Genomic DNA, 22,781 nt, shown 5'->3' with positions numbered 1-22,781 from the left:
CTCCAGGTTGGGGATCTGGCATTTTGGGAGCAGGGAGGGTTTGGATGGAACAGGTATCCCAGGAAGGCAGAGGTGAGGCATGGCCAGTTCTGATTGGAACTTAAGGCTGTAGGCCTGAGGCTCCAAGGTGGGTAGTTGGGGGCCTGGACAGCTGGCCCTCGCCCAGCCCCATCCCACCCAGGGCCGCCTTCAGGCCCACGGCTGGCACCACCCACAGGGTCAAAGCCCAGTTCTCTGCTGCAAAGGAGCCCAGCCAAGCCCATCCCCTCGGGGTTACTGTGGGAGAGTGGGGCTCCATCCTCATCTTCACGCTTGCTGGGAGCCCCTGCCCAGTGGCCTGGTGACCCGATCACTGGGGCGGACAAGTCGCTCCCTCTCATCCCTGCCGCCCGTCGGCCAGTCATGTTCACCTACTGTGTGCAGCCCCTCCAAGGCCCAGAGTTCCCGGGACACGGTCTCAGGGTGGCAGCAGAGGGATGGGGTGAGGTGGGAACCCTCAGATGCAGTGGTCTGTGCGCCTCACTGAGGAGGCCATGCCCTGGCTGGGCCCTGATGGCCATGGGGAGGTCTGGGACAGGGAGGCCCAGGCAGAAGCCCTGGGGAACTGCTTGGCGGCCCTGGATAGAGAGCGGCCGGGGCCAGGGCAGCCAGGGACAGGGCTGGACAGGGGAGGGAGCAACGTGTGAGGGGAGCCCTGGGGGTTCCAGCAGGGCAGTGGCCTCTGAGATTTTGTCCAGACCCTTCCTCTGGCCCTGCCTGGCCTCAAGGGGCTCCAGAGTGGAGGCCAGGGCCACCGAGGGGCTGCTGTGGACGCCCAGGTGGGAGTGGCGGAGGGTTGTGGGTCGGGATAGCAGGAAGAGGGTGAGCGGGGCTGGTAGCCAACAGGAGGTGCCGACAGGAGGTGCCAGGGGTGACACCCAGGCCCTTTGGTGTGGTCAGTCCCTTGCGATGACCCAGGGCTGCTCTCCGAGGCATGGCCAGGTGGTGTGAGGTCCTGGCTCCCAGCCCACCTCTGCCACTTTCTGGCTGGCCTCCTTGGGCAGCTTTCTTCACCTCTCTGGGCCTCAGTGTCTTCTTTGGGATGGAGACGGAACCCCATCTTGTGGGGCTATCGGGAGCTTCAGCACAGCTTCCGTCCTGTGAGGCCTTCCCTTTCCCCTGCTCTGTGAATGTAGAGGAAAGATTGGGGCCCCACTGTGCCCTTTCAGCTGGGTGGGTGTGCCCCCAACCCTGCTCCAAGACTCCACCAATGGACAGAGGCTGGTGTCTGTGGAGCAGCTTGACCAGGCTGTCCTGGGACTCCTGAGACTGGCCCCACCTCGGTCAATTGATGCCACAATGGAGGGTTGACCAGGGCTCTCCTGGAAACCTGCTCTCTGCTGGGACTGGCATCCCTGTCTCACCAGGGCTGATAAATCCATCAGCCACCTGGAGTGTGTCCATCCCAGTGGACTCAGAGAGAATACTGTGATTGACTAGTGATGCCTGCCATGGGCAGGGGATGGAAGGGTAGTGGCTGCTCCTAGACAGGCCCTGGGGTTGCTGTCCCTGTCACAGCCGATCCTCCAACGTGAGGCCCCGTCACACTAGGGAGACTGCCAAGGCCTCGGCCACCCAGCTGACCCTTCATTTCCCAGCAGACAAGTCGGCAGGAAGTGCAGGGAGGGGGAAGAGGGCCTTCAGCTGCTGCGTCACCCAGTCCCCCTTGGCAGCCTAGAGAGGAGAGAGATCTCGCCTGAGGTGACACAGCAGATTGGTGGTTGCAGAGAACCCCCAGTGCGGCCCCCCATTCTGGCCCTCCCACCCCAGCTCTCCGAGTAGGGATCCTGCCTGCAGCTCCCAGCTTCCGAGTGTTTGCTGGAGGAAGGTCTGCATTTTAAACTTGTTGCCTTGGGCGTGCCATGCGGGCTGTTCCTCCTGGGTCTCAGACCAGAGCCCCTGCCATCCAGCCCGTGGATTCAGTCCCCGGCCTGGCCCAGCGCGTCCACGCTTCTGCCTCTGGCCAGGGTGGGACACACGTGCAGACAAGCCGCTGTGGCCCATGTCCGCCCACCCAAAACTGCCCAGCCTGGCTTGTGTGATCCGGCGACTGTGCCAGACGCGAGAGCGGGGGAAGCTCAGGAAGCCGTTTGTGTGCTGCCCTCCTGCAACAGACCTCCACTGGCCCAGGGAAGGAAACTGCTGTGTTCAGGGAGAGGTAAAAAAAAGGAACGGTGTTTCCAGTAGCTGACAGAGCGTTCCATGTTCACAGGAGGATCTCAGAGCTGTCCTGGTTGGGGCTGCTGAGGAACCCGGGAGCTGTCTGGGGCCCTCATGGGCACCGTCGGGCACAGAGAGTGCTGACCTGCAGGCCTGGAGTCTGGAAGCTTGGGCAGACCCAAGCCTTGCCTCAGTTTCCTCCTCGTGAATCAGACCTGTCGTGTCTGCGTTCCTGTGCCATAGTCCTCATTAGTCACTCTGTCCACCTTTCTCTGCCCAGCATGACTGAGCTCGGCCGAGGGTCCCCAGGCCAAGGCCAGAGGACAGCTGGGGGCTCTGGCCCATCAGTGCCCAGTTTGGAAGCATCCTGATCCCTGTCCTGTGTCTGCAGGGAGTGTGTGTAGCTTTGGGTTTGCAGAAGTGAGATGCACAGAGGCCTGACCTGGCAGCTGGGTGGAGCAGCCGTGCCAGGGACTGGGGGTGCAGGCCTCAGCCCTGGAAAGCCCCTGCTGGCCTGTGGGCCGCAACGCCCCTGTCCTAGAGCCTCCTCCCTCAGCCCCGTTCTCTGATGGACAAATCCTAAGTGTTTGTCCAGGGGGTTTCCTGCCAAGCCTGGGCAGGTGTTCCCTGGGAAGAGGGCTGGCATGGAGTGAAAGGCAGAGTAGCTTCGGGGGCTCTGCATGCTCACCGGGGAAGGACACCCTGTGGACCACTGGCCATTTCCTTCCAAACCGGTGCCAGCCGAGGTTCCCTTACGAGAAGCGTGTTGGAAAATAAAAATATATATTATGCCTTACAGCTGCTGAGAAGTCACATTCCTCTGTAATCAGCAGCCACGCCAGGCCCCTTCCTCTCCCAGACAAAGTAGAGGGGGCAGGGGACCGAGCATTTCTTTCCGCCTGTGAGATCCGTGTCTTCCTCTGCCTTGCCGAGGTTCTGGAAACAGGGGCAGAAACAGCCTCGCTGGATTGGGGGTCACGTGGGGTCTCTCCTCTGGGGCTCTGGTGTATTCACCATCTCCCCTGGTGGCCTTGGAGCTGGCCACACCCCCACCTCGCTGGACCTGCCATGGCAGATGTCAAGGTCACTGCCGGGGCTATGGCAGTGGTTGTGCCTCAGTGCCCCCACCTTCCAACCCGCCACTCCATGGGACAGAGACCCTCCTACTTCCATCCTGACTTTGGTTTCAGACCCTGGTGGCCACACCGGGCCAGCCCATTGGTCACTCTCGACTCCACCCCCGTGAGACTCCTGCCCCACTTGGCACTTGAGTCTTCATCTACCCCCTGCCCGGGCTGCCTGCTCCAGCCCCTAAACCATGCCCATGTCCATCATCACCTTCCCCCTCCTTCCTTCACATACCACATCTGAGGCAGGTGGCTTGTCCAAATATTACAGTGAGTGAGCTGAGGCCAGGGGGTGTAGGGCCCTTAGCAAGCCTGTAGCTAGGAGTTTGTGGCCAGGGTTCCTACTCTAGCCTGTCTTATACAAAGCTGGAACTCTGGGCCAGGTACAGTGCCTCCCACCTGTAATCCCAACACTGGGAGGCCAAGGTGGGAGGATCGCGTGAGGCCAAGAGTTTGAGACCAGCCTGGACAGTATAGCAAGACCCCATCTCTACAAAAAAATACCAAAAAAACCCAAACAAAGTCAGAGCTCTGAACTCAAAATTAGACTTTACTCTTCACACCAGCTCCCTTGCCGCCACCTGCGAGAAGCCCTTCCTGGTTTCCCCAGGTTCAGACTCCCTGCCACCCCGAGCTGTCTCTGCGTGCTCCCTGCACCCCTCGGCCCTGTGCTGCCTTCGTGCTGGGTGTGTCAGGCTCATCTCCGACACTGCCATCCCCGAGCCGGGTGTGGCCATGGGTGGAAAGCCGGGTTCGACCTGGCCTCCTCCCATTGTGATAGCCCTGCTGGGCTGGGTGGGATGGCGCGCTGAGGAAAGAAACGTGATCCCTGGGCTTGTTTTGACAGTTGGAGCTGTTTAGCAGGAGAACCGTTTCTAATAAGCGAAGCCCTGGTGCTTCAAGGCCTCCCTGCCAATTAGAAGGCGGCACCCAGGTGACTCCCTCAATAATTAAACGGGTCTGGCGGGCCCTCCACGCTGCGCTTCCTGATGGTGCCTTTCAAGTTTGCCTGGCTGCTGTTTCCCCGGCACACAGTGCCAAAAGGGCTAGGGCCCGGCTCCCATGCCCTGGGCGTGGGGTCCCATGGCCCCTCCACCCCTCTGCCCGCGCTGTTCTCTTTCTCCTCACTATGGCCTCCGCCTGGGTGAGATGCCACTGCACCTGGTGGTGTTCCAGTACCAGGCCAGCACCTGGCCCTCCCAAAGCCTGATTTTGAAGCTGGTTTCAGAATTGGAAACTGAGGCTTAGCCAGGCCCCCACCACCCCCCGATAGTGTCAGCACCATAAATGGAAACACTGTTGTCTGCCATCTGCAAGACTAGGGTGGCCAACTTGTCCCAGTTACAGCATCAAAAGTCCCGCATCCCAAGAAATCCCTGTCCTGGGCAAACCCGGACAGTAGATGTCAGGGCTGGCCGCACCTGGCCTCAGAGGCCGAGGGCGCTCCCTTAGGGCCGTGAGCCAGTCCCGCCCTCCAGGATGTAACTCGAGGCTCTGCCTGTTCTCTCGGAGTGCTCCGGCTGGGCGAGGAGCACCAGGGTCACGTGGAGCAGCCTCCCTGATACACTGCTGGTGAACACGGTCCTTGGCAGTCACCGTGCGGGGCCTTCTCTTCTGTGAGTCGGGTTCCACTTTCTTTCTGTACCGGCCAAGTGGAGGCATTAGGGACTGTCTCAAGCCCTGGATCCTTCACCTGAGATGCCAGCAGAGTGTGGGAAACAAAAACTGTCCTAGACTCTGTGCATGATGGCTGGATGAGCCAAGCACTGATTTCTGTACCTTCTGCAATCGTCAGTACCTTCCAGAATCCAAATGTTCATTGAGGGCTGCGTTCTTGTTCAGATGTACTGTGGGAGGAAGTGCTCAGTGGGGTGCCCTGCCTGAGCCATGGCAGGGCCGGGTGGACCATCTGTGGGGAGGGGCGCTTTTCCAATTGTGATCCAGGAATTGGTCCCACTGCGGCTGGCTCTGGAGGCAGAGTGGGCTCAGGCTGAGCTGGTGGAAAGCGGAAGGGGAGAGACCCACGCTGGCACATGCAGGATGCTCACTAGGAGGCTTATGCACCATCTCCCTTGGTCTTAGCAATTGCTACTACCGGCCCCCATTCTGCAGTTGGGGAAACTGAGGCTCAGAGACAGGCAGAGCCAGGGCTTGAACCCAGACCCATTACCTGCAGAAGCCTTGCTCTTAGCTCTCCCCACAAGGTCTCCCCTCCAGTGAGCACAGTTGAGGTGCTGGGGTCTGTTCTGTGGCTTCTCCCTGATGTTATCTCTGGGTGTTTGGGGACGGAGCCTGGGAGCTGCATGTTGGCCCTGGGCAGGGCTGTTTGTGGACACTCACTCCAGGACGAGCTGCATACCTGCTGGGTGGATTCACTCTTTAAGAGGCAAGAGGGGCTTCCCTGCTCTGAGGTGGTGGTTGTCCCCAGGGAAACAGGGCCAGGACTCCAGGGCTGCAGGAGTGGCCACGAGCTCTGCATGATGGAGCCCTGGAGTCCACTCAATATGCAGAGGAGTTCGCTGCCACATGGGGTCACCAGGCCCAGTGCTGCATCCGAGATGGTTTTGAAGCACTTGGCCAGATCCTGGGGCGGTGGTGGTGTGGGGGCCCAGCCTTCTCTCCCTGTAGCTGCTGCTGTTGTGAAATCTTAGATCAGCACCAACAAGCGGTCGTGCTCCCCATTGAACCCCACGTTTGAGGCCCCACAGTCCTCATGGAAGCACAGTAAGGCGTGAGCTGTCCGGGCTCGTCCCCTAGAACCCAGGCACCTGCTACCTGCCTGGGAAGGAGGGCAGCTGTGTTTAGGGTCCTCTCTTTGCTACTCTGGTCTTTGTCTTAAAAACCAAATCTGGCTGCCGGCTCCTCAGGGCCCTCCAAGAAAGCAAACCCAAGCTGTCGTCCCTCTAGCTGAGATCCTGAGGGTCTGCACTGACAGACCTGTGCTTGCTACCCTCAGCTTGGAGACCCCTGCGCGTCCAATGTGCCCCTCCCTCTGGACTGTGGGGCCACCATGCAGCTGTAGGCACAGTGAGTGGCACAGGTGGTGCCCTGCAGACGCCATCGTTTCTAGCAGATTTTCACAGAAGTCCTGAGGGCAAGGATAGGAGCCTGATTTATTATCCCAAAGCGAGATTCAAGCTGTTCCTTCTCCCTGAATCAGTGACAAATGGCCGCCCATGCCAGCCCCACGCAGGTGCCCCGTAATTCCCCGGGGAAGGACGGGAGGAGAGTGAAGGAGCTCTTTGGAAGCAGGAGCTGTGTTTCCTCTGCTCTTCCTTCGGGGTTTGGGTTTGGGCACCCCTGTAGGGTGTTCTGTTTTCTGGTCTGTGTCCTCTGGCTGGTGACTTATTTGGCTGTAGCACTGGGACTGTGATTGTCCTGCCCAGAATTGAGCTCATGGGGAAGGCCTGTTGGGGGCTGGGGGAGCTCCTTGAGCAAGCAGTGGCTCAGGGGCAGGAGTGGGGAGTGGGTGCTGAGGAAGCTTGGGGAGTGGGATTGGATGGGTCGTTTGGGAGGAGGGGCTGCTGCCCAACGCGGGCTCTGCTGGGGATTTCTCTGCACTCAGCACTTGGGGCTTCTCTGCTTCCTGTGCGGACATCTGCTTCGTCCCCTCGGCGGTGCAGTGGGAAACTCTGCTTCCCGAAGCCGGGCACGAGGAAATGCATGCTCAGGAAGGCTCTGGTGGGAGGAGAGGGATGCAGCCGCCCCTGGGGAGCCAGGATGACTGCTCTCAGGACAACTTCTGGATAGGCTGTGGTTGGCCTTCTCTGCTTCTCATTCCCTGCTCTTAACGAGCAAGGCAACGCCACAGGGCAAGGTGTGGGTAGGGGACGCTAGGGGTAAGTGCGGGAAGGAAAATCAGCTGGTGCCTGAAGATGGCCTCGGGGGCGGGGAGTGGGGGGTGGAGCTAGGCCTTGTTGCAAAATGACCAGAGTCTCCACCCAACCCACCCCCACTGGGCTTTAAGTTACAGCTGGGATGTGGCCCCAGGAACTCTGCTCAGACATTCTCTGTGCAAATGTGTGTCACACTGTTTAATCGAGGTCAGTGTTTACAAAGTCCCTACTGAGGGGTGACTTAAATACCTCTGTGTGATCTCTTACAAGCTCTCCTTGAAAATGCCTCCTCGTGTAGGCTGGGCATGGTGGCTCACGCCTGTAATCCCAGCACTTTGGGAGGCTGAGGCGGGCGGATCACGAGGTCAGGAGTTTGAGACCAGCATGGCCACCATAGTGAAACCCTGTCTCTACTAAAAATACAAAAAATTAGCTGGACGTCGGGGTGGGCGCCTGTAATCCCAGCTACTTGGAGGCTGAGACAGGGGAATCACTTGAACCCGGGAGGCAGAGGTTGCAGTGAGCCGAGATCATGCCATTGCACTCCAGCCCGGGTGACAGTGTGAGACTCCGTCTCAAAAAAAAAAAAAAAAACTTCCTCGTATCTAATTTGAGGCTGCCATTTCAGGGGATTAAGAGCAGCCTGAGAATATCTGACACCCACCTTTCTGTCCACTTATCCATGCACCCACTAATCCCACCCACCAACCCACTCATTTGTTCATCCATCCACTCATCCATCTGTCTGTCAGCCCACAAAGTCCAACTACTCTCTCATCCATCTGTCCTTCCAGACATGCATCCATGCACCCATGAATCCAGCCACCCGACAACCCATTTATCTATCCTTCCACTTACCTACTTACCCACCCACCCATCTACCACTCATCCACCCATCCCACCAACCCAGCCATTTACCCATCTAGCTACCCATCCATCCATCCATCCATGCACCCACCTAGCCATTCATCCAACCACTCGCCCATCCATCCATTCATGCATCTTTTCATCCATCCACCCACCTACCCACCCATCCATCCATCTACCCACCCATCCATCCATTCATCCATCCATCCACCCACCCACCTACCCACCCACCCCATCCATCCATTCATCCACCCACCCATCCATACATCCATTCATTCATCCATCCACCCACCCACCCATCTATCCATCCACCCACCCACCCACCCATTCATCCATCCACCAACCCACTCACCAACCTATCCATTCATCCATCTACCCACCCACTCATGCACTCAGCCATCCATTTATCCCTCCATCCACCCATCCATTCATCCACCCACCCATTCATCCACCCACCCATCCATCAATCCACCCACCCACCCAGCTAGCCACTCAGCCATCCATTCGTCCTTCCATCCACCCATCCATCCATCTATACATTCACCTACCCACTTACCCATACACCCATACATCCATCCATCCACCCACCCATTCATCCATCTAGCCACCCACCCACCCGCCCACCCATGCATGCATGCATGCATCCATCCATCTACCCACCCACCCACCCACTTACCCACCCATCCATCCATCCACCCATCCACCCACCCACCCACCCACCTACTTACCCACCCATCCATTCATCCATCCACACATCCATGCACCCACTCAGCCAGCCAGCCAACCATCCACCCCCCGCCATCTATCCTCCACCTACTCATCCATCCATGTACTCATCCATGCCTTTCTAGCGCCAGGCACTGTGCTAGGCAGAGGCAGACCCAAGCTGAGAGACTGATCAAGTCTTCCCACATGCAGTAGGGCTTGGATTCAGCCCTGAAGGATGCTAGCACTTGGGTGAATGGTGGGAGGGTGGGGGACTAAAGGCAGAGAGCAGAGCAGGTACAAAGGCCAGAGGTAGCATGGGCATGGAGGGCTGTGGGGGGAGCGGAGTGAAAGGGGACTGGGGCCTGGTGAAGCCTCCTCTATTCTCCTGCATATTCCTGCGCCAGCGGCCAGGCGCTGAGGCCGTGCACGGTCCCTGACAGGCTGCCTCCCTCTCCTGCTCTTCCCCTTCTGGCAGAGCTTTTGTTGGGCTGTGGCAGAAATTAATTGGATTTGCAGCTCCATTCTCAAGGGGATTTGTGGCCTCAAATAGGGATCTTAGAATAAAAGTAGTAAAGATTTTACGGGCAGCAGTATAATTCTTTGGACTTTAACATTCCTGCTTTATCTCCTCTGGGTTGGGCAGGTAAAGGAAATGACAGTAGGGGTTGAACAAGACACCAAATGAGATGCAGGAAAGGGAAAATTACGACAATCATAGCTCAAGGTCAGGTTTTTAAAAAGGTTTTTTTTTTTTTTTTAATTTATTTTTTTTGAGATGGAGTCTCACTCTGTGACCCAGGCTGGAGTGAAATGGCACGATCTTGGCTCACAGCAACCTCCGCCTCCCGGGTTCAAGCAATTCTCCTGCCTCAGCTTCCCGAGTAGCTGGGATTACAGGCGCCCACCACCGCGCCCGGCTAATTTTTTTGTATTTTTAGTAGAGACGGGGTTTCACCGTATTGGTCAGGTTGGTCTCGAACTTCTGACCTCAGGTGATCCGCCCGCCTCGGGCCTCCCAAAGTCCTGGGATTACAGGTGTGAGCCACCGCGCCTGGCCGACAAAAGGTTTTGAAATGACTGTTGTGCCTTATTTTAGTGGGCACTCACTTTCTGTGTTAGGAAACAAGATTCCAAAATCATCATGGCGAGTGGGGCTCTTAGGCCCTAACGAGGCATCAGAAGGCAGTTTTCTTGGGCAGTGGAAAGTGCCCTGAGTGAGAATGATACTAGAAATACTAAATCGCAGCTGCCACTGTTGGGCCCCCCTAAGTACAGAGCATTCTGCTATCCTACAGCTGCTCTTCCCAGCAGACCTCTGAGAAGGCACTATTACTTCCATTTTCCAGGAGGAGAAGGCTGACACTCAGAGAGGTTAAGTAGGTTGTCCAAAGTCACAGGGAGCAGGCTGTGGGCCTAGGGTTCACACCTGGGTTTGCCCAACTCCAAAGCCTTTCCTCTCCTTCGCTGCCCCGGGCTCAGCTCTCCTGGCAGGGCAGGTGGGTTCTGTCTGAGTCCCAGGACTGATGGAGGAGTAGAGCCCTGTGTTAAGAACCCTGCGCTGGGCTTCAGGGATAGGAGAGCTTTGATTGGTGAGTGATGTCTGCCTGGGCACAGGAAGAGTGAGAGGCACGCGTGTGTGCTCACTCACCATTAGGGTGGGTTTCCTTACAAAGTGTGAATGCATCTCTTGATCGGCTTAGCAGGGCGGGTTCTAGAAGTACAGTCCCCGAATGGCCGTCCTGTTGATAATCCAGGGTTCGATGGGATGCCCTGTTTCCCTAAACTGTCGCCCACACTCTGTGATCAGATTTGAACAAGATCACAACCTCAGGAGTTTGGTATTTTCTCTTCCCTCTCTACATTCTACGTGAGAAAGCACATTAATACTTTGCCATGATGTCATTTTATATGTAACATACTTTTATAGGAGATGAGTGGGGTTTAAAATTTTTTTACTTTTGATGAGGACACATTTTCATAATGAGAATTTTGATTCTATTTTTCTTTATTATGGAAGTCATACCAATCATCACTGAAAATTTAGAAAAAGCAGAAATGACTGACGAGGTTGGAGACAGGGATGGCTGCATGTAAGCGAGGGGCTGGTGCGGGAGCGGGGACAGCCCAGGGCTGGTCCTGGCAGCGGGGTTTCAAGCCTCCATCTCTGGGTCCTGAAGTCACATCTCAGCCTGGCAGAGCCTCCCTGGCTCCTGGCCCCCCACGTGCTCCTGTGCTTTCTGGGGTCACCTGCGTGTGGGCCAGTCCCCTCCAGGTTGTGGCTCCTCAGCCCCACCCCCATCACCTGGGCGGGATCTGTGTCGGCATGGGGCTCTGCATATCATGGGAGGAGATGGATTCCTTGAGGGGCTTCTTGGCCGTAAATGGCACTGTCTCAGCAACGGAGCCCTGATGGTGAGGATGTCGTGGCAGCCTCAGCTCTGCCTGTGACCCAGGGACACACACCTCAACTGGGGGATGCTGCTGTATGGTGATGGGTGGAAGGAGGGAGAGTGGCTGGGAGGAGAGAGCTGAGCTCACCCATGCAGAGGTCAGGCCTGGCCGTGCTGCGCCCTTGGACACGGGCTTTTACCAGGAAGCCACAGGGGCACGCTGACCAATGGCCCAGTCCCTGCAGGTCTGTGACAGAGCCAGGTAGGACCCAGGTTTCCAGCTCACAGATCAGCGGACTCCCCCCTGCCCTCCCGCAGGAGCACAGGTCCCCGGCCTCCGGTTGGGGCGGGGCTGCCGGGACGGACCGCGCGTCCCTGCTGGATCTCGGGCTGAGCAAATGTCAGCCTGACCCCAGGCAAGGAAGCAATCCCAGCTGGCATCTGGGCCCGGGCAGCCCCTCCAGCTGGGATCTCCCGTCCCATCCTTAGTGACAGGTTTCCTACCAGAACACGCACCCTGGGGCTACAGGGGGCTGTTTGGTTTAATTAAGGGGCCTTTCGTGTCTCCTCTAGAGATGAGTGGATTTGGCCCATAGCGTTGAGCCAGCTGCAGCCCCCTCTTCTGGGTGTTTGATCTGCCTCTCCTGCCTCTCCTCCCTCCCCACCCCTCCCTCCCTTCCGCCTCTCCCCGCTTCCTGAGGCTGACCTGACATTTCAGCTCTGAGTGGTTGGCCTGTGCTGGCCTGGGCTCGCCTTATGCAGGGAGGCCTGTAGACTCGGGGCCACACCCATCTGTCTGTCTGCAGAGGATGGAGCAGAGTGATGTTTTGGGTCCTGGGGGAGGAAAAAGCGCTTCCTTCCACCCCTCCAGGTTCTTGAGCTGGTTTATGAATTAAATTGACATAAGACAGATGAGCAGGAGAAAAACAATTATAATTATGTACATATGCATGACAGTTCCACAAAAATGAGACTCAAGAAGAGCCCAGATGATTAAAGTTTATGTGTTATATATATATATATATTTCTATACCATCGTGAACTGCAGAAAGGCACCAGGGTTGGGGCATCTGGAGGGCGGAGTGTGGGGGAGCACCGCCGCGTTCCTTCTGGGGAGACCCCATGGGGCTTCTGCTCCCTTTGTAGGAGGGGAGGCTGTGGATCCAGGCGGAAGGTCCGAGGGCTTTTCATTTTCGGGACTCTCTTCCTGACCTCAAGCCAGTGGCTGGTGGGTGGCGTGGGTGAGCCCCTACCCTCAGTGCCTCAGAAGTCACCCCTCCCTTCCGGAGTCCCCTCCTGCTTCCTCTCCTGCGTGGACTGAGCTGGCAGCCCTCCCACCTGCCCACCAGGAGGTGTGCGAGGAGCCTCATCTCCACTGTGAACCCCCTGGAAGTGGGAGGGTGGGTAAAGGGGAAGGCAGGTCGCCCAGCAGATGAACGCTTTCTGCAGCCCTGACCTGGGCCTCTCGTCTTCCCACTGGACACCCGGAGCCCGGAGTGGGCGTGACACATTCCTTGCCCCCTGGCAAGTAGGCATGGGTCTCCTCTTGCCCTATGGCCCAGTTGGCTCGTCCTGTGACTCCGATCAGTGTCCGCGCACCCTGTGTCCTTCCAGAGAGTGGACAAGAGCCCCTTTGCTCCTGGCTGGGCCACACTGGGCTCTGCTGTGGGGTCCAGCTGGGGTCCCACTGGCCGGCAGTGCCGGGACCTGCTCACCTCCCTCTCGCCTTCTCTTCCGCAGGCCTTTTCCCTCAGAGGAGACCACAGAGAATGACGATGACGTCTACCGCAGCCTGGAGGAGCTGGCCGAGTAAGGCGGGGGGATGGGAGGAGGGATGGAGAGGAGGGAGGGGCAGGGAGGTTCCTGGTGGTGTCCAGGGAGTCAGGAGGAAACATGGCGGCCACAGTGCAGGCAGAGCTGGCCCTGGCCCTTCCCACCGGGGCATCTCCTCATGATGGGTCATGGTGTGGGCTTCCGTGCTGAGTGGGAAGGCATGCATCTGAGAGACCTCAGACATGAGCAGATCTTCATATCCCTTGTACATTCTAGAAGGCTGCCCAGCCAGTCTAATGGCTGGCCCGGGTGTTGGCCCATTGCCCTAGCAGGGTCCTCCATGAGGGCTTGTCTCTGCGAAGCTGTGGGGCAGAGAGGGGGCTGGCCATGCTCCCCAAGCCGGGTCCTGGGATGCCGTGTTGTGAGGAGGGAGCGGTGCTGCCTGGAGCGCAGGTTCAGGGCACAGGAGTGTGTGGGCTCGGGGTTAACACGTGGCCCGGCAGGCACTGCCCTGCCTCGGTGGACCCGCCTCTGCTCTTCTCCGTGTCCACCTCATTCCTCTCTCTGAGAGGCCTCTGCTCCACCCAGGCGCTGCCCAAGCCTGGCCACAGCACCAGGGCCCCATCGGGACCGTGGGAATCTGTGACCAGGGTGGGATCACGTGGCCCGCTCCAGGAGGAGGGAGGTAGGAGGGTAGGAGGAAGGGGCCTCACCTGCAGGTGAGGGACCTGGGCTGAGACCGAGCATCCTTGCTGGGGCCTCACGGCCTGGCTCATCCACCACCCTCCCAGGCCACCGGGAGATGGTGCCTTCGGGCATCCTTGCTGCCTGGGGGCCTCTGGAGCTGTTTGACAGCAGCTTGTGTGTTCTTAGCTCAACTACGGTTTCTTCTGGAAGACTCTTAGTGTTTCTCTCTCCCTTCGTTTTAGAGCACAGACTGAGAATGACAACCGGGAGAGGAGTAAGAGGGGGAGCTGCGTGTATGGGAGTGCCTGCTGTGTATGCTGGGGCTGTCCCTGTCTTACTGCTCAGCCCACATCCAGGGCTGCCTTTAGCTTGCAGGGCCCAGGAAAATACTTTCCGCAGGATCCCTGTGTATATACACAATTCAAGTCATCCCCATATCAGCATGTGGCACCACGCTGGCGGCCCAGTCTCATGCACTTCTGTGAAAGAAATTCCTCACCCACCAGCTGGAGTAGCTGCCACCAGCCCATCCCTTTGATGCTGGGCTGGCCACGGGGTCCTTGGCAAATCCCACTGGCCAGACTCCCAGAGCTCCTCTGGACATCCGGTCGGCCCCACGTGGGTCTGAGGGTTGTAGAGCATCTTAAAGGGGAGAGATGGGCACAGGGGCCATGCAGGTCACAGCCAGGCCTGGGGCGCCCACCTGGAGGCCACTGTCCACCCTGACCAGCCTCAGGAATCTGAGGGAGACTTCAAAAATTCAAAAAAAAACTGCTCACTCCTGGAATCCCAGCATTTTTTGGGGAGGCTGAGGCGGGCGGATCACCTGAGGTCAGGAGTCGGAGACCAGTCTGGCCAACATGGTGAAACCCTGTCTCTACTAAAAATACAAAAATTAGCCAGATGTAATGGTGGGCACCTGTAATCCCAGCTACTTGGGAGGCTGAGGCAGGAGAATCACTTGAACTCAGGAGGCGGAGGTTACAGTGAGCCAAGATTGCGCCACTGCACTCCAGCCTGGGCGACAAGAGTGAAACTCCGTCTGGGGTAAAAAAAAAAAAGAAAATTCCAAAAACAGCTCACTCCAGCATGCAGGCTTCTGAGACTGACTGAGGGACTGTCCATCTCAACCCTGTAAGGGGGGAGGAAACTGAGGCTCAGAGAGGGCAGGGCTTCTGGCTGGTGGCATGGCCAGAGGGAAGTCCCTTAGGGATAAGGCCCCAACCCCCAGCAGAGTCTGCAGCCACCCTACTTGCTATGCTCAGAGTTGGAACATACCCCCCTGTACCCTTCCTGGCATTCCTTGCCTTGGAAATCCTTCTCTGCCACATCCAGGCCAAGGTGTCTCCCACTGTGTGAAGCTGCTCCATCCTGGCCAGCGCCCCCTCAGCACCCATGCCTCTGTTGGGTCTCTGGGCTGCCCAAGGGGTGCACGGTGATTAGGGGGTTAAATGCCTGTCCCCTGCCTATCAGAGGGTCAGACCCTGCACCTTCTTCCTGTCCTCTCCTGGTCCAGCCCTAGCAGGGCAAGCCTTCTGCACATGGTAGGATGCCTGTACCCACAGGACAATGACAGCAACAGTGGGCGGTGCTTACGAGCTTTTTTGGGGCTGGGCACTGCTGGGCTTCATTCCCTCAAATCCCCCACCCTCAATTGCTCTGTGAGGTCTGTTCTGTGGTTGTCCTCATTTTACAGATAAGGAAACTGAGGTCCAGAGAGGGGACACCACTGGCCCATGTCACCCAGCTAGTAAGTGGCAGAGCCATGATTTAACCCTAGCCCCCCACCACACAGAGCCTGTGCCCCCCAGAGCCTGGGGAGCTCCTGGCCGGTGTGAGGGCAAGTTTCTGACCTGCTATTTCTCCTAAGTTACCAGCCTGAGGTTGGGATTCTGTGCTCTCCAGAAACATGCCTCAGCGTTTCTGGACAGTCAGCACAGGAGGGCTCCGGGACGATGGGGCCCACATCGGCCTTATGTGGCCAGGGACTGACATGAAATGCCCACTCCGTAGGAGCCTCCTGGGTGTTCAGCCCAGGACACTTCCTGAACTACAGCCCCCACATGGCCAGGCCTGCCCCTGCTGGTTTATAGTGCACATTCAGTTTAGAGGATTTCTGCCTGGAGAGTCAGGCTAGATCCCAGGTTGCCCATTTTCTTTTTCATTTTTTTTTTTTCTTTTTTTGAGATGGAGTTTTGCTCTTGTCACCCAGGCTGGAGTGCAGTGGCGCGATCTCAGCTCACTGCAACCTCCACCTCCAGGGTTCAAGTGATTTTCCTGCCTCAGCCTCCCCAGTAGCTGGGATTACAGGCATGCACCACCACGCCCGGCTAATTTTTGTATTTTTAGTAGAGACAAGGTTTCACCGTGTTGGCCAGGCTGGTCTTGGGCTCCTGACCTCAGGTGATCCACCTGCCTCGGCCTCCCATAGTGCTGAGATTACAGGCGTGAGCCACCGTGCCCGGCCAGTTGCCCATTTTCCATCTTTCTCTGCCCGTCCTGATTGTGACTGATCTCTTGAACCAAAATGCAAGGTGGAATTCCTCTCACCCAGAAAAGCAGCTCTGGGGAACCTGTGGCTTTGCACTGTCCAATAATGTTATTCCCTGACATTAAGACTGAGCCTCCTTAATCCAACGAGCTCTTTATGACTGCAGTTATTGCAAACGTAAATCATCAGTTCTAAGGAAGGGGAATGCATTTGAATCTTTAACTTGCAATTTGGTCCCAGTGGCTCAAGTTTAATAAATTTTTTATGTTGTTTTTCCCCCTCCTCCTTTCACTGAAAGGCAAGATTTCCTATCCTTTCTCTGTGGACTTGGTGTGGATATTTAGCCATTATGGCAATTTACAAGACACAAGCGCATGCCATTTCTTACCTGGATCCTACTTGGGGAGGTAATGTAGTTGTGAATTTTCAAAGCTGGAGCTGGGGAAATGGTCTAATCAGAAGCCAGGTCTATTAGTATTACAGTTTAAAGATTGCTTGAATTGTAAAGGAAAGAGGTTTAGTTGACTCAGTTCCACCGGACTGGGGAGGCCCCAGGAAACTTATAGTCATGGTGGAAGGGGAAGCAAACACGCTTTTCTTCACATGGCAGCAGCAAGAAGGGCAGAGCAAAAGGAGGAAAGCCCCTTATAAAACCATCAGATCTCGTGAGAACTCACTCACTATCATGAGAATGGTATGAGCGATACGAGGGTCACCGCCTCCATGATTCAATGACCTCCTTCCAGGTCCCTCCCACAGCACATGGGGATTATGGGAACTACAGTTCAAGATGAGATTTGGGTGGGGACACAGCCAGACCATATCACCAGGCACAGGAGTGAGGAGAAGGAAGGGACATTTGGAGCAGAACGCACCTGTTCTTTGCTTTGGGCCCATAGCCAGATGCCCAACATGAAGGTCACCTTGAATGTCTAAAGGACTCCGCTGACTGCCCAGACCCCAGACACTCTGCAGCTGTTTGGGGAAAGTCAAAGACTGGCTCACAGATGCAGCTTGTCTCCCAGGGAACCTGCAAATGTGGTTTTAGGACACCAGCGAGGGGCACCGTGTGAGTGCCTGTGTGCTTTCATTCATTCACACGATCATCGTTCATTCCATCGTCAGCTGGTTCCTAAACACTCTCTGTGTGTCAGGCTTGGAACCAGGAGCTGGAAACATATTAAGATGAAGACACATTTCCTGCCTCCCAAGACCCAGGCCCCATGGGGAGTGTGGAAGCCGAAGGACAGTTTCAGGGCAGTGTGGTGGGATTACAGCGGAGCCACGTCAAAAAATAAGAAGGGACAAACGAAATTAATCATAAGAATGTATTTTATAGGCTGGGCATAGTGGCTTACACCTGTAATCCCAGCACTTCACTTTGGGATTGCTTGAGGCCAGAAGTTCGAGACCAGCCTGGGCAACATAGATCCTGTCACTGCACTCCAGCCTGAGCGACAGAGCAAGACCTCATCTCTTAAAAAAAAAAATGTATGTTATAGTTAACCCAGCATATTCAAAATATTATCTGGGTCACCTTGTGATCAGTGTCACAGATCATCCTTGGGCAGCCTACGTTTTGTGGTGCTTGCGCTGAGTCCTCTGATCTGGCTTATGGAGCTCGCACTTGGGCGCAGGTCACTGCAGCTTGTCATGTTGTGAGCCGGACAGCCACACGTGGCCAGTGGCTCTGTGCCGGGTAGCACAGGTCTTAGATCCAGAACATCTTTCTGGGAGCTGGAGCCAGTCCCCTGTGTGGGCACGTATAACACTGAAGTTATTTTCTCAAGTGCTCTAAGCTCGCTTTTGAGAGCTTTGAATAATGCATAATCAAATAATAAGAGCAGCTGGTTGAAAAAATTAACACAAAATATTGCCACTTAAAAATGCTTTATCAAGCAAAATAAGCCCAAATGGAGGGCCTGTTTTTAAATTGCTCTAATAATCAGTACCTTGCATTTGCATAATGGCTTTTCCTTGGCAGGCACTGCGCTTCCCTTTTCGTTCCTGCCCAACTCTTGGGGGCCCAGGGCTAGATGCCTGCACTGGGGGGCTCCCAGCCTGGGGTCCAGAGGCAGGTTTGTACACAGAAGAGTGACATGCACAAGATGGTTGGCTGTGGGAGCAGAGTGGGGCTGGCGGAGTGCTGGGTCAGAAAGCAAGGAAAGCTTCTCAGAAGAGGTGACAGCCGGGCCTCCTCAGAAGAGGTGACAGCTGGGCCTCAGCACCCAAGGAGGAGTTTGCTGAAGACCGGGGCACTATCCCAGCAGGAGGAGTTGTGCAGGGTGTGGAAGGCGAGGCTGGAGGGCAAGGTGGGGCTCCCCATCTGGAGGTGTGGCTGAGGGTTGTTCCAGCGCAAGTCCAGCGTATTGTGCTATTGTGGGACAAGGCTTGGTGTTTGTAACGAATCAGAATTGTGGAAGTTCCCCGGGGACTCACAGGGAGGATCACCTCTCCCTCAGGAAGGCACAGGGCCCACGTCGAAATGCCTGCTGTGACCCCAACTTGGTGGCACTGCAGTGACAGTGTTTCTCCGCACGGTAGAAGGACACCTTGGGTCAGCCTGTGCTGGCTGCAGGGGGCAGCACTGCTGGGTGTCCAGGAAGGTGGCCGCATGCCGGCGATGCCCGTGCTCAGTGGTCAGCCCCAGTGGGCGCAGCGGTAGCTGGCGATGCCCGTGGTCAGTGGTCAGCCCCAGTGGGCGCAGCGGTAGGTGGTGATGCCCCCACTCAGTGGTCAGCCCCAGTGGGCGCAGCGGTAGGTGGTGATGCCCGTGCTCAGTGGTCAGCCCCAGTGGGCGCAGCGGTAGGTGGTGATGCCCCCACTCAGTGGTCAGCCCCAGTGGGCGCAGCGGTAGCTGGCGATGCCCGTGCTCAGTGGTCAGCCCCAGTGGGCGCAGCGGTAGGTGGTGATGCCCCCACTCAGTGGTCAGCCTCAGTGGGCACAGCAGTAGCTGGCGATGCCCGTGCTCAGTGGTCAGCCTCAGTGGGCGCAGCGGTAGGTGGTGATGCCCCCGCTCAGTGGTCAGCCCCAGTGGGCACAGCAGTAGCTGGCGATGCCCCCACTCAGTGGTCAGCCTCAGTGGGCGCAGCGGTAGGTGGTGATGCCCCCACTCAGTGGTCAGCCCCAGTGGGCGCAGCGGTAGGTGGTGATGCCCGTGCTCAGTGGTCAGCCCCAGTGGGCGCAGCGGTAGGTGGTGATGCCCCCGCTCAGTGGTCAGCCCCAGTGGGCACAGCAGTAGCTGGCGATGCCCCCACTCAGTGGTCAGCCTCAGTGGGCGCAGCGGTAGGTGGTGATGCCCCCACTCAGTGGTCAGCCCCAGTGGGCGCAGCGGTAGGTGGTGATGCCCGTGCTCAGTGGTCAGCCCCAGTGGGCGCAGCGGTAGGTGGTGATGCCCGTGCTCAGTGGTCAGCCCCAGTGGGCGCAGCGGTAGCTGGCGATGCCCGTGCTCAGTGGTCAGCCCCAGTGGGCGCAGCGGTAGGTGGTGATGCCCCCACTCAGTGGTCAGCCTCAGTGGGCACAGCAGTAGCTGGCGATGCCCGTGCTCAGTGGTCAGCCCCAGTGGGCGCAGCGGTAGCTGGCGATGCCCGTGCTCAGTGGTCAGCCCCAGTGGGCACAGCAGTAGCTGGCGATGCCCCCACTCAGTGGTCAGCCTCAGTGGGCGCAGCGGTAGGTGGTGATGCCCCCACTCAGTGGTCAGCCTCAGTGGGCACAGCAGTAGCTGGCGATGCCCGTGCTCAGTGGTCAGCCCCAGTGGGCGCAGCGGTAGGTGGTGATGCCCCCGCTCAGTGGTCAGCCCCAGTGGGCACAGCAGTAGCTGGCGATGCCCCCACTCAGTGGTCAGCCTCAGTGGGCGCAGCGGTAGGTGGTGATGCCCCCGCTCAGTGGTCAGCCCCAGTGGGCACAGCAGTAGCTGGCGATGCCCATGCTCAGTGGTCAGCCCCAGTGGGCGCAGCGGTAGGTGGCACATTGGCTTCTTCCTTCCAGCTTCAAGAAGCATCTCTCTGATTGCTCTGGCCTGGAGTCCTGGGGCCCTCTGTCCCCCTCCTGGCACTGCAGCCAGCGTTCCTAGTTCCCATTTTCTGTTCACTGAGGCTGGGCGTGGTCCGCTGCAGTCTGTGGGGGGCCCTGGGAATGCTTCCAGGCCTTGATGGAGGAGGATTTGGAAAGGGCACCCGGATTGGGTGCCACAGAGCGCCGTGATGAGTGCGTCTTGCGAGGACACTGGTGCCGCTGTGGCAGGGTTGCCCTTGCCTGTCTGTGAAGTAGGCTGCACACCCCAGTCCCCAGCAGGGCCAGGCCGCCTGCCTCTGCCCTCCCTCCCGTGGTGCCGGCAGGTCAGAGGTCCCCGAGAATTCTTAGGGGAATTGAAGGGACACGGGAGAAATTTGAAAGCTCCCACTCAGGGCAGAAGAGAGGCCAAAGGAAGGACATGGACATGAGACCAAGCTTTATTTAGCCACCGCTTCATCCTAGGTGGCTGGGGGAGGGGTGGTTGGACCTGGAGCCTCTTCCCAGAGTGTGCTGCTAGATGTCTGACAGCCAGCTGGTAAACATGCCCCACCAGGAGCATCCTTGTCTGCAGAGCAGGGTCCTGCAACCTCACAGGCTGCTGTGGGAAGGCACCCCGCCACTCCGGTGGCTGCATGAGGAGGGAGTGATCCTAGACACAGCCAGGCTCTGTCAGGAACCGCGTGTCCTCCTGGCTTCTCCCCAGAGAGCATCTGAGCAGGAGCATCCTTGAAGGGAGAGCTGCCCCTGAGTGCGAGCGGGGAGGGAGATTCTGGGGCCAGGGCTCTGGGCGAGGGCTTGGATGTGAGGCTGCAGCTGCTGGCTGCTTTAGTGTGGCGGGTCACCAGGGCCCAAGGTCTAGCTGGCCTTTCCTTTCCTTTCAAGGGGCTGCTTCTCTGGGCAAGTTAAATGCCACACAGGGCCTCAGTTTCCCAGTCTCTGAAACGAAAGCATCTGCCCAGATGGTCTGTGAATCCCACTGAGCTTGAGGAATCCACAATTTTATGATTTAGGAGCCTGCTTTGCATAACACTGGTTTCACTTTCCTGGGAGTTGAAGTGATTTTCAGGCTTAAACAAATGTGATCGTGACACGGCAGGGAATGTAATGTATCCGCGAATGTAGAGCTGCATGCTTTATTGCATCATAAAATGACTGTGCAGCTTTAAATGTGTCATGTTAGCATCATTGGGATAATTTTTTAGGGTGCATAAAATGTAGAAGGAGTTTCTGGTGTCGAGGAGGTTTGGACGTCTTCTTTCTACATGGGGAGTGAGTGGGAGCTGCCTGCTGGCGGCGACCTGGGAGGGGAGAGGCCGTGCTTCTCCCATTGGATCCTGCCCTGGGGCCTTGGCCACTCTGTGCTGTGCCCTTTGTCTGCAGGGGTACAAGGAGTGAGGAACAAACCGCTGTCCTCTATGGCCCACCCTCCCCGCCGTTGTCCTCACCCTGCCCACCTCTCCCAGAGGAAGTTTGTTTAGATACCATCTCCTGAGCTCATGTATGTTCATCTTCACTCTGGGAGGTCCGCGTTGTGGAGGACGCCTGAGTGTGGAGCCCGAGTTGAGCTGGGAGAGGCTGGGTTTGGGACACCTTATGTTCACCCCAGAGGATTGTTTTTCCAAAGGGGACAAGTTTGAAAGCAGACTCCACGAAAACGGCCCCACGAGAAACAAGCAAATGAATCCAGCCCTGTTAGACAGCCCCCGGCCCCAGGCACATGCAAAGCCTGCCCTGGTCTGAAGGAGGCCGGAATGAAGCCCCCTTCCCCAGAGGAGGTGTTGACAGGCATCCCCCCGTCCCTCCCTGGTGGCCCGAGGCTCGTGTGGGGATGGAGGGGAGACTGGAGAGACGGAAGACGGGGCGTTTCTTAAGGCGGGTGATGGCCGGGACAGAAAGGCCTTTGTCCCCCGCCCCCCCACCCCAGGTCCTTCATCGACAAGGACACCTGGCTGGACCGTGGCATTGTCTCCTTGGAGCTGCCTCCCCACTGGCCGTGGTGCCTCATTTGCACAACAGACCCTTTAAGACTGCGTGCTCGGCCCCACCTGGGCTTCTCCTTGGCCGCATGTGGCTCCCTCAAATGCTGCCAAGGGTCTCTTGCTCCTCGGTGTGACTCTGTGAGGCCAGGCCTCTGTGGGGACTGGCAGAATGGAGTGAATGAAGCCAGCGTCCCCGGAGGGTCCCTCTGTCAAGACGCTTCCAGTTGCATCTCCCTGAGCGCTGCAGGCCGGGCCCTGAGCCCTCTCGCTGGACAGGAAGGAGACGGGGCTCTGAGAGAGGAAGGCACCTGGTCAGAGTCGTACAGAACTAGGGGGCAGAGCTGCAATTTGAGCCCAGCTCTGTCTCTCCAAGGGTCATTGTCAGACCACCCCTCCCTAACCCCAGGGGTGGCTAAAGGAGCCCTCCCTGCCCCACAGACCTGGGACCTGGGACCCCGTTGTGGGCCCCTGCACTTCTCACTCGAGGTTCCTCTACCTCCCACATGTGCTGTCCAGGCAGCAGCCTCTGGGGGCAGACCCTGACAAGCCAGGAGGGCAGGAAGCCTTCCTGGAGGAGGTGTTCATTTTGAAGAGTGCGTAGGATTTGCCAAAGTGTGATTTAGGAAACCTGCTCTTACCCCCTGTGCCAGGCCAGTCACTACCTTGTTTTGGGCTGGGGTTTTAAGAGTGTCCTGGCTGGGTCTCTTCTA

General features: G+C 57.6%; 1 protein-coding gene across 9 annotated transcripts in view, besides 6 other annotated features; it reads left to right on the top strand.

Annotated features, from left to right (window-relative positions):
- VAV2 (vav guanine nucleotide exchange factor 2) overlaps positions 1 to 22,781 on the top strand; it is a 230,431-nt gene that overhangs the window by 145,117 nt on the left and 62,533 nt on the right. For all 9 annotated transcript variants that reach the window (NM_003371.4, NM_001411028.1, XM_017015109.2 and 6 more), the window contains exon 4: positions 12,868 to 12,936. In NM_003371.4, the coding sequence (NP_003362.2) occupies positions 12,868 to 12,936 (69 nt within the window). The remainder of the gene's footprint in view (positions 1 to 12,867; positions 12,937 to 22,781) is intronic.
- Positions 1,691 to 1,770: an enhancer, noted in NCBI's record as "active region_29254". NCBI's record gives its function as "activates an Ori minimal core promoter by ATAC-STARR-seq in GM12878 lymphoblastoid cells {active_cell/tissue: GM12878}" and the evidence as "EXISTENCE:reporter gene assay evidence [ECO:0000049][PMID:35858748]".
- Positions 2,867 to 3,161: a silencer, noted in NCBI's record as "tiled region #14277; K562 Repressive non-DNase unmatched - State 20:ReprD". NCBI's record gives its function as "represses a minimal TATA promoter and a strong SV40 promoter by Sharpr-MPRA in K562 cells {active_cell/tissue: K562}" and the evidence as "EXISTENCE:reporter gene assay evidence [ECO:0000049][PMID:27701403]".
- Positions 6,734 to 7,684: an enhancer, noted in NCBI's record as "H3K27ac-H3K4me1 hESC enhancer chr9:136704646-136705596 (GRCh37/hg19 assembly coordinates)". NCBI's record gives its function as "activates a minimal SCP1, AML or CMV promoter by ChIP-STARR-seq in primed H9 embryonic stem cells {active_cell/tissue: H9 hESC(primed)}" and the evidence as "EXISTENCE:reporter gene assay evidence [ECO:0000049][PMID:30033119]".
- Positions 12,332 to 13,154: an enhancer, noted in NCBI's record as "H3K27ac-H3K4me1 hESC enhancer chr9:136699176-136699998 (GRCh37/hg19 assembly coordinates)". NCBI's record gives its function as "activates a minimal SCP1, AML or CMV promoter by ChIP-STARR-seq in primed H9 embryonic stem cells {active_cell/tissue: H9 hESC(primed)}" and the evidence as "EXISTENCE:reporter gene assay evidence [ECO:0000049][PMID:30033119]".
- Positions 20,718 to 21,715: an enhancer, noted in NCBI's record as "H3K27ac-H3K4me1 hESC enhancer chr9:136690615-136691612 (GRCh37/hg19 assembly coordinates)". NCBI's record gives its function as "activates a minimal SCP1, AML or CMV promoter by ChIP-STARR-seq in naive H9 embryonic stem cells {active_cell/tissue: H9 hESC(naive)}" and the evidence as "EXISTENCE:reporter gene assay evidence [ECO:0000049][PMID:30033119]".
- Positions 21,716 to 22,712: an enhancer, noted in NCBI's record as "H3K27ac-H3K4me1 hESC enhancer chr9:136689618-136690614 (GRCh37/hg19 assembly coordinates)". NCBI's record gives its function as "activates a minimal SCP1, AML or CMV promoter by ChIP-STARR-seq in naive H9 embryonic stem cells {active_cell/tissue: H9 hESC(naive)}" and the evidence as "EXISTENCE:reporter gene assay evidence [ECO:0000049][PMID:30033119]".

Source organism: Homo sapiens, chromosome 9 (assembly GCF_000001405.40).
Source record: "Homo sapiens chromosome 9, GRCh38.p14 Primary Assembly".
In the NCBI taxonomy this organism is placed as follows: domain Eukaryota; kingdom Metazoa; phylum Chordata; class Mammalia; order Primates; family Hominidae; genus Homo; species Homo sapiens.
The sequence above is the reverse complement of the archived record's forward strand: the minus strand, read 5'-3'. Positions and strand labels throughout refer to the sequence as shown.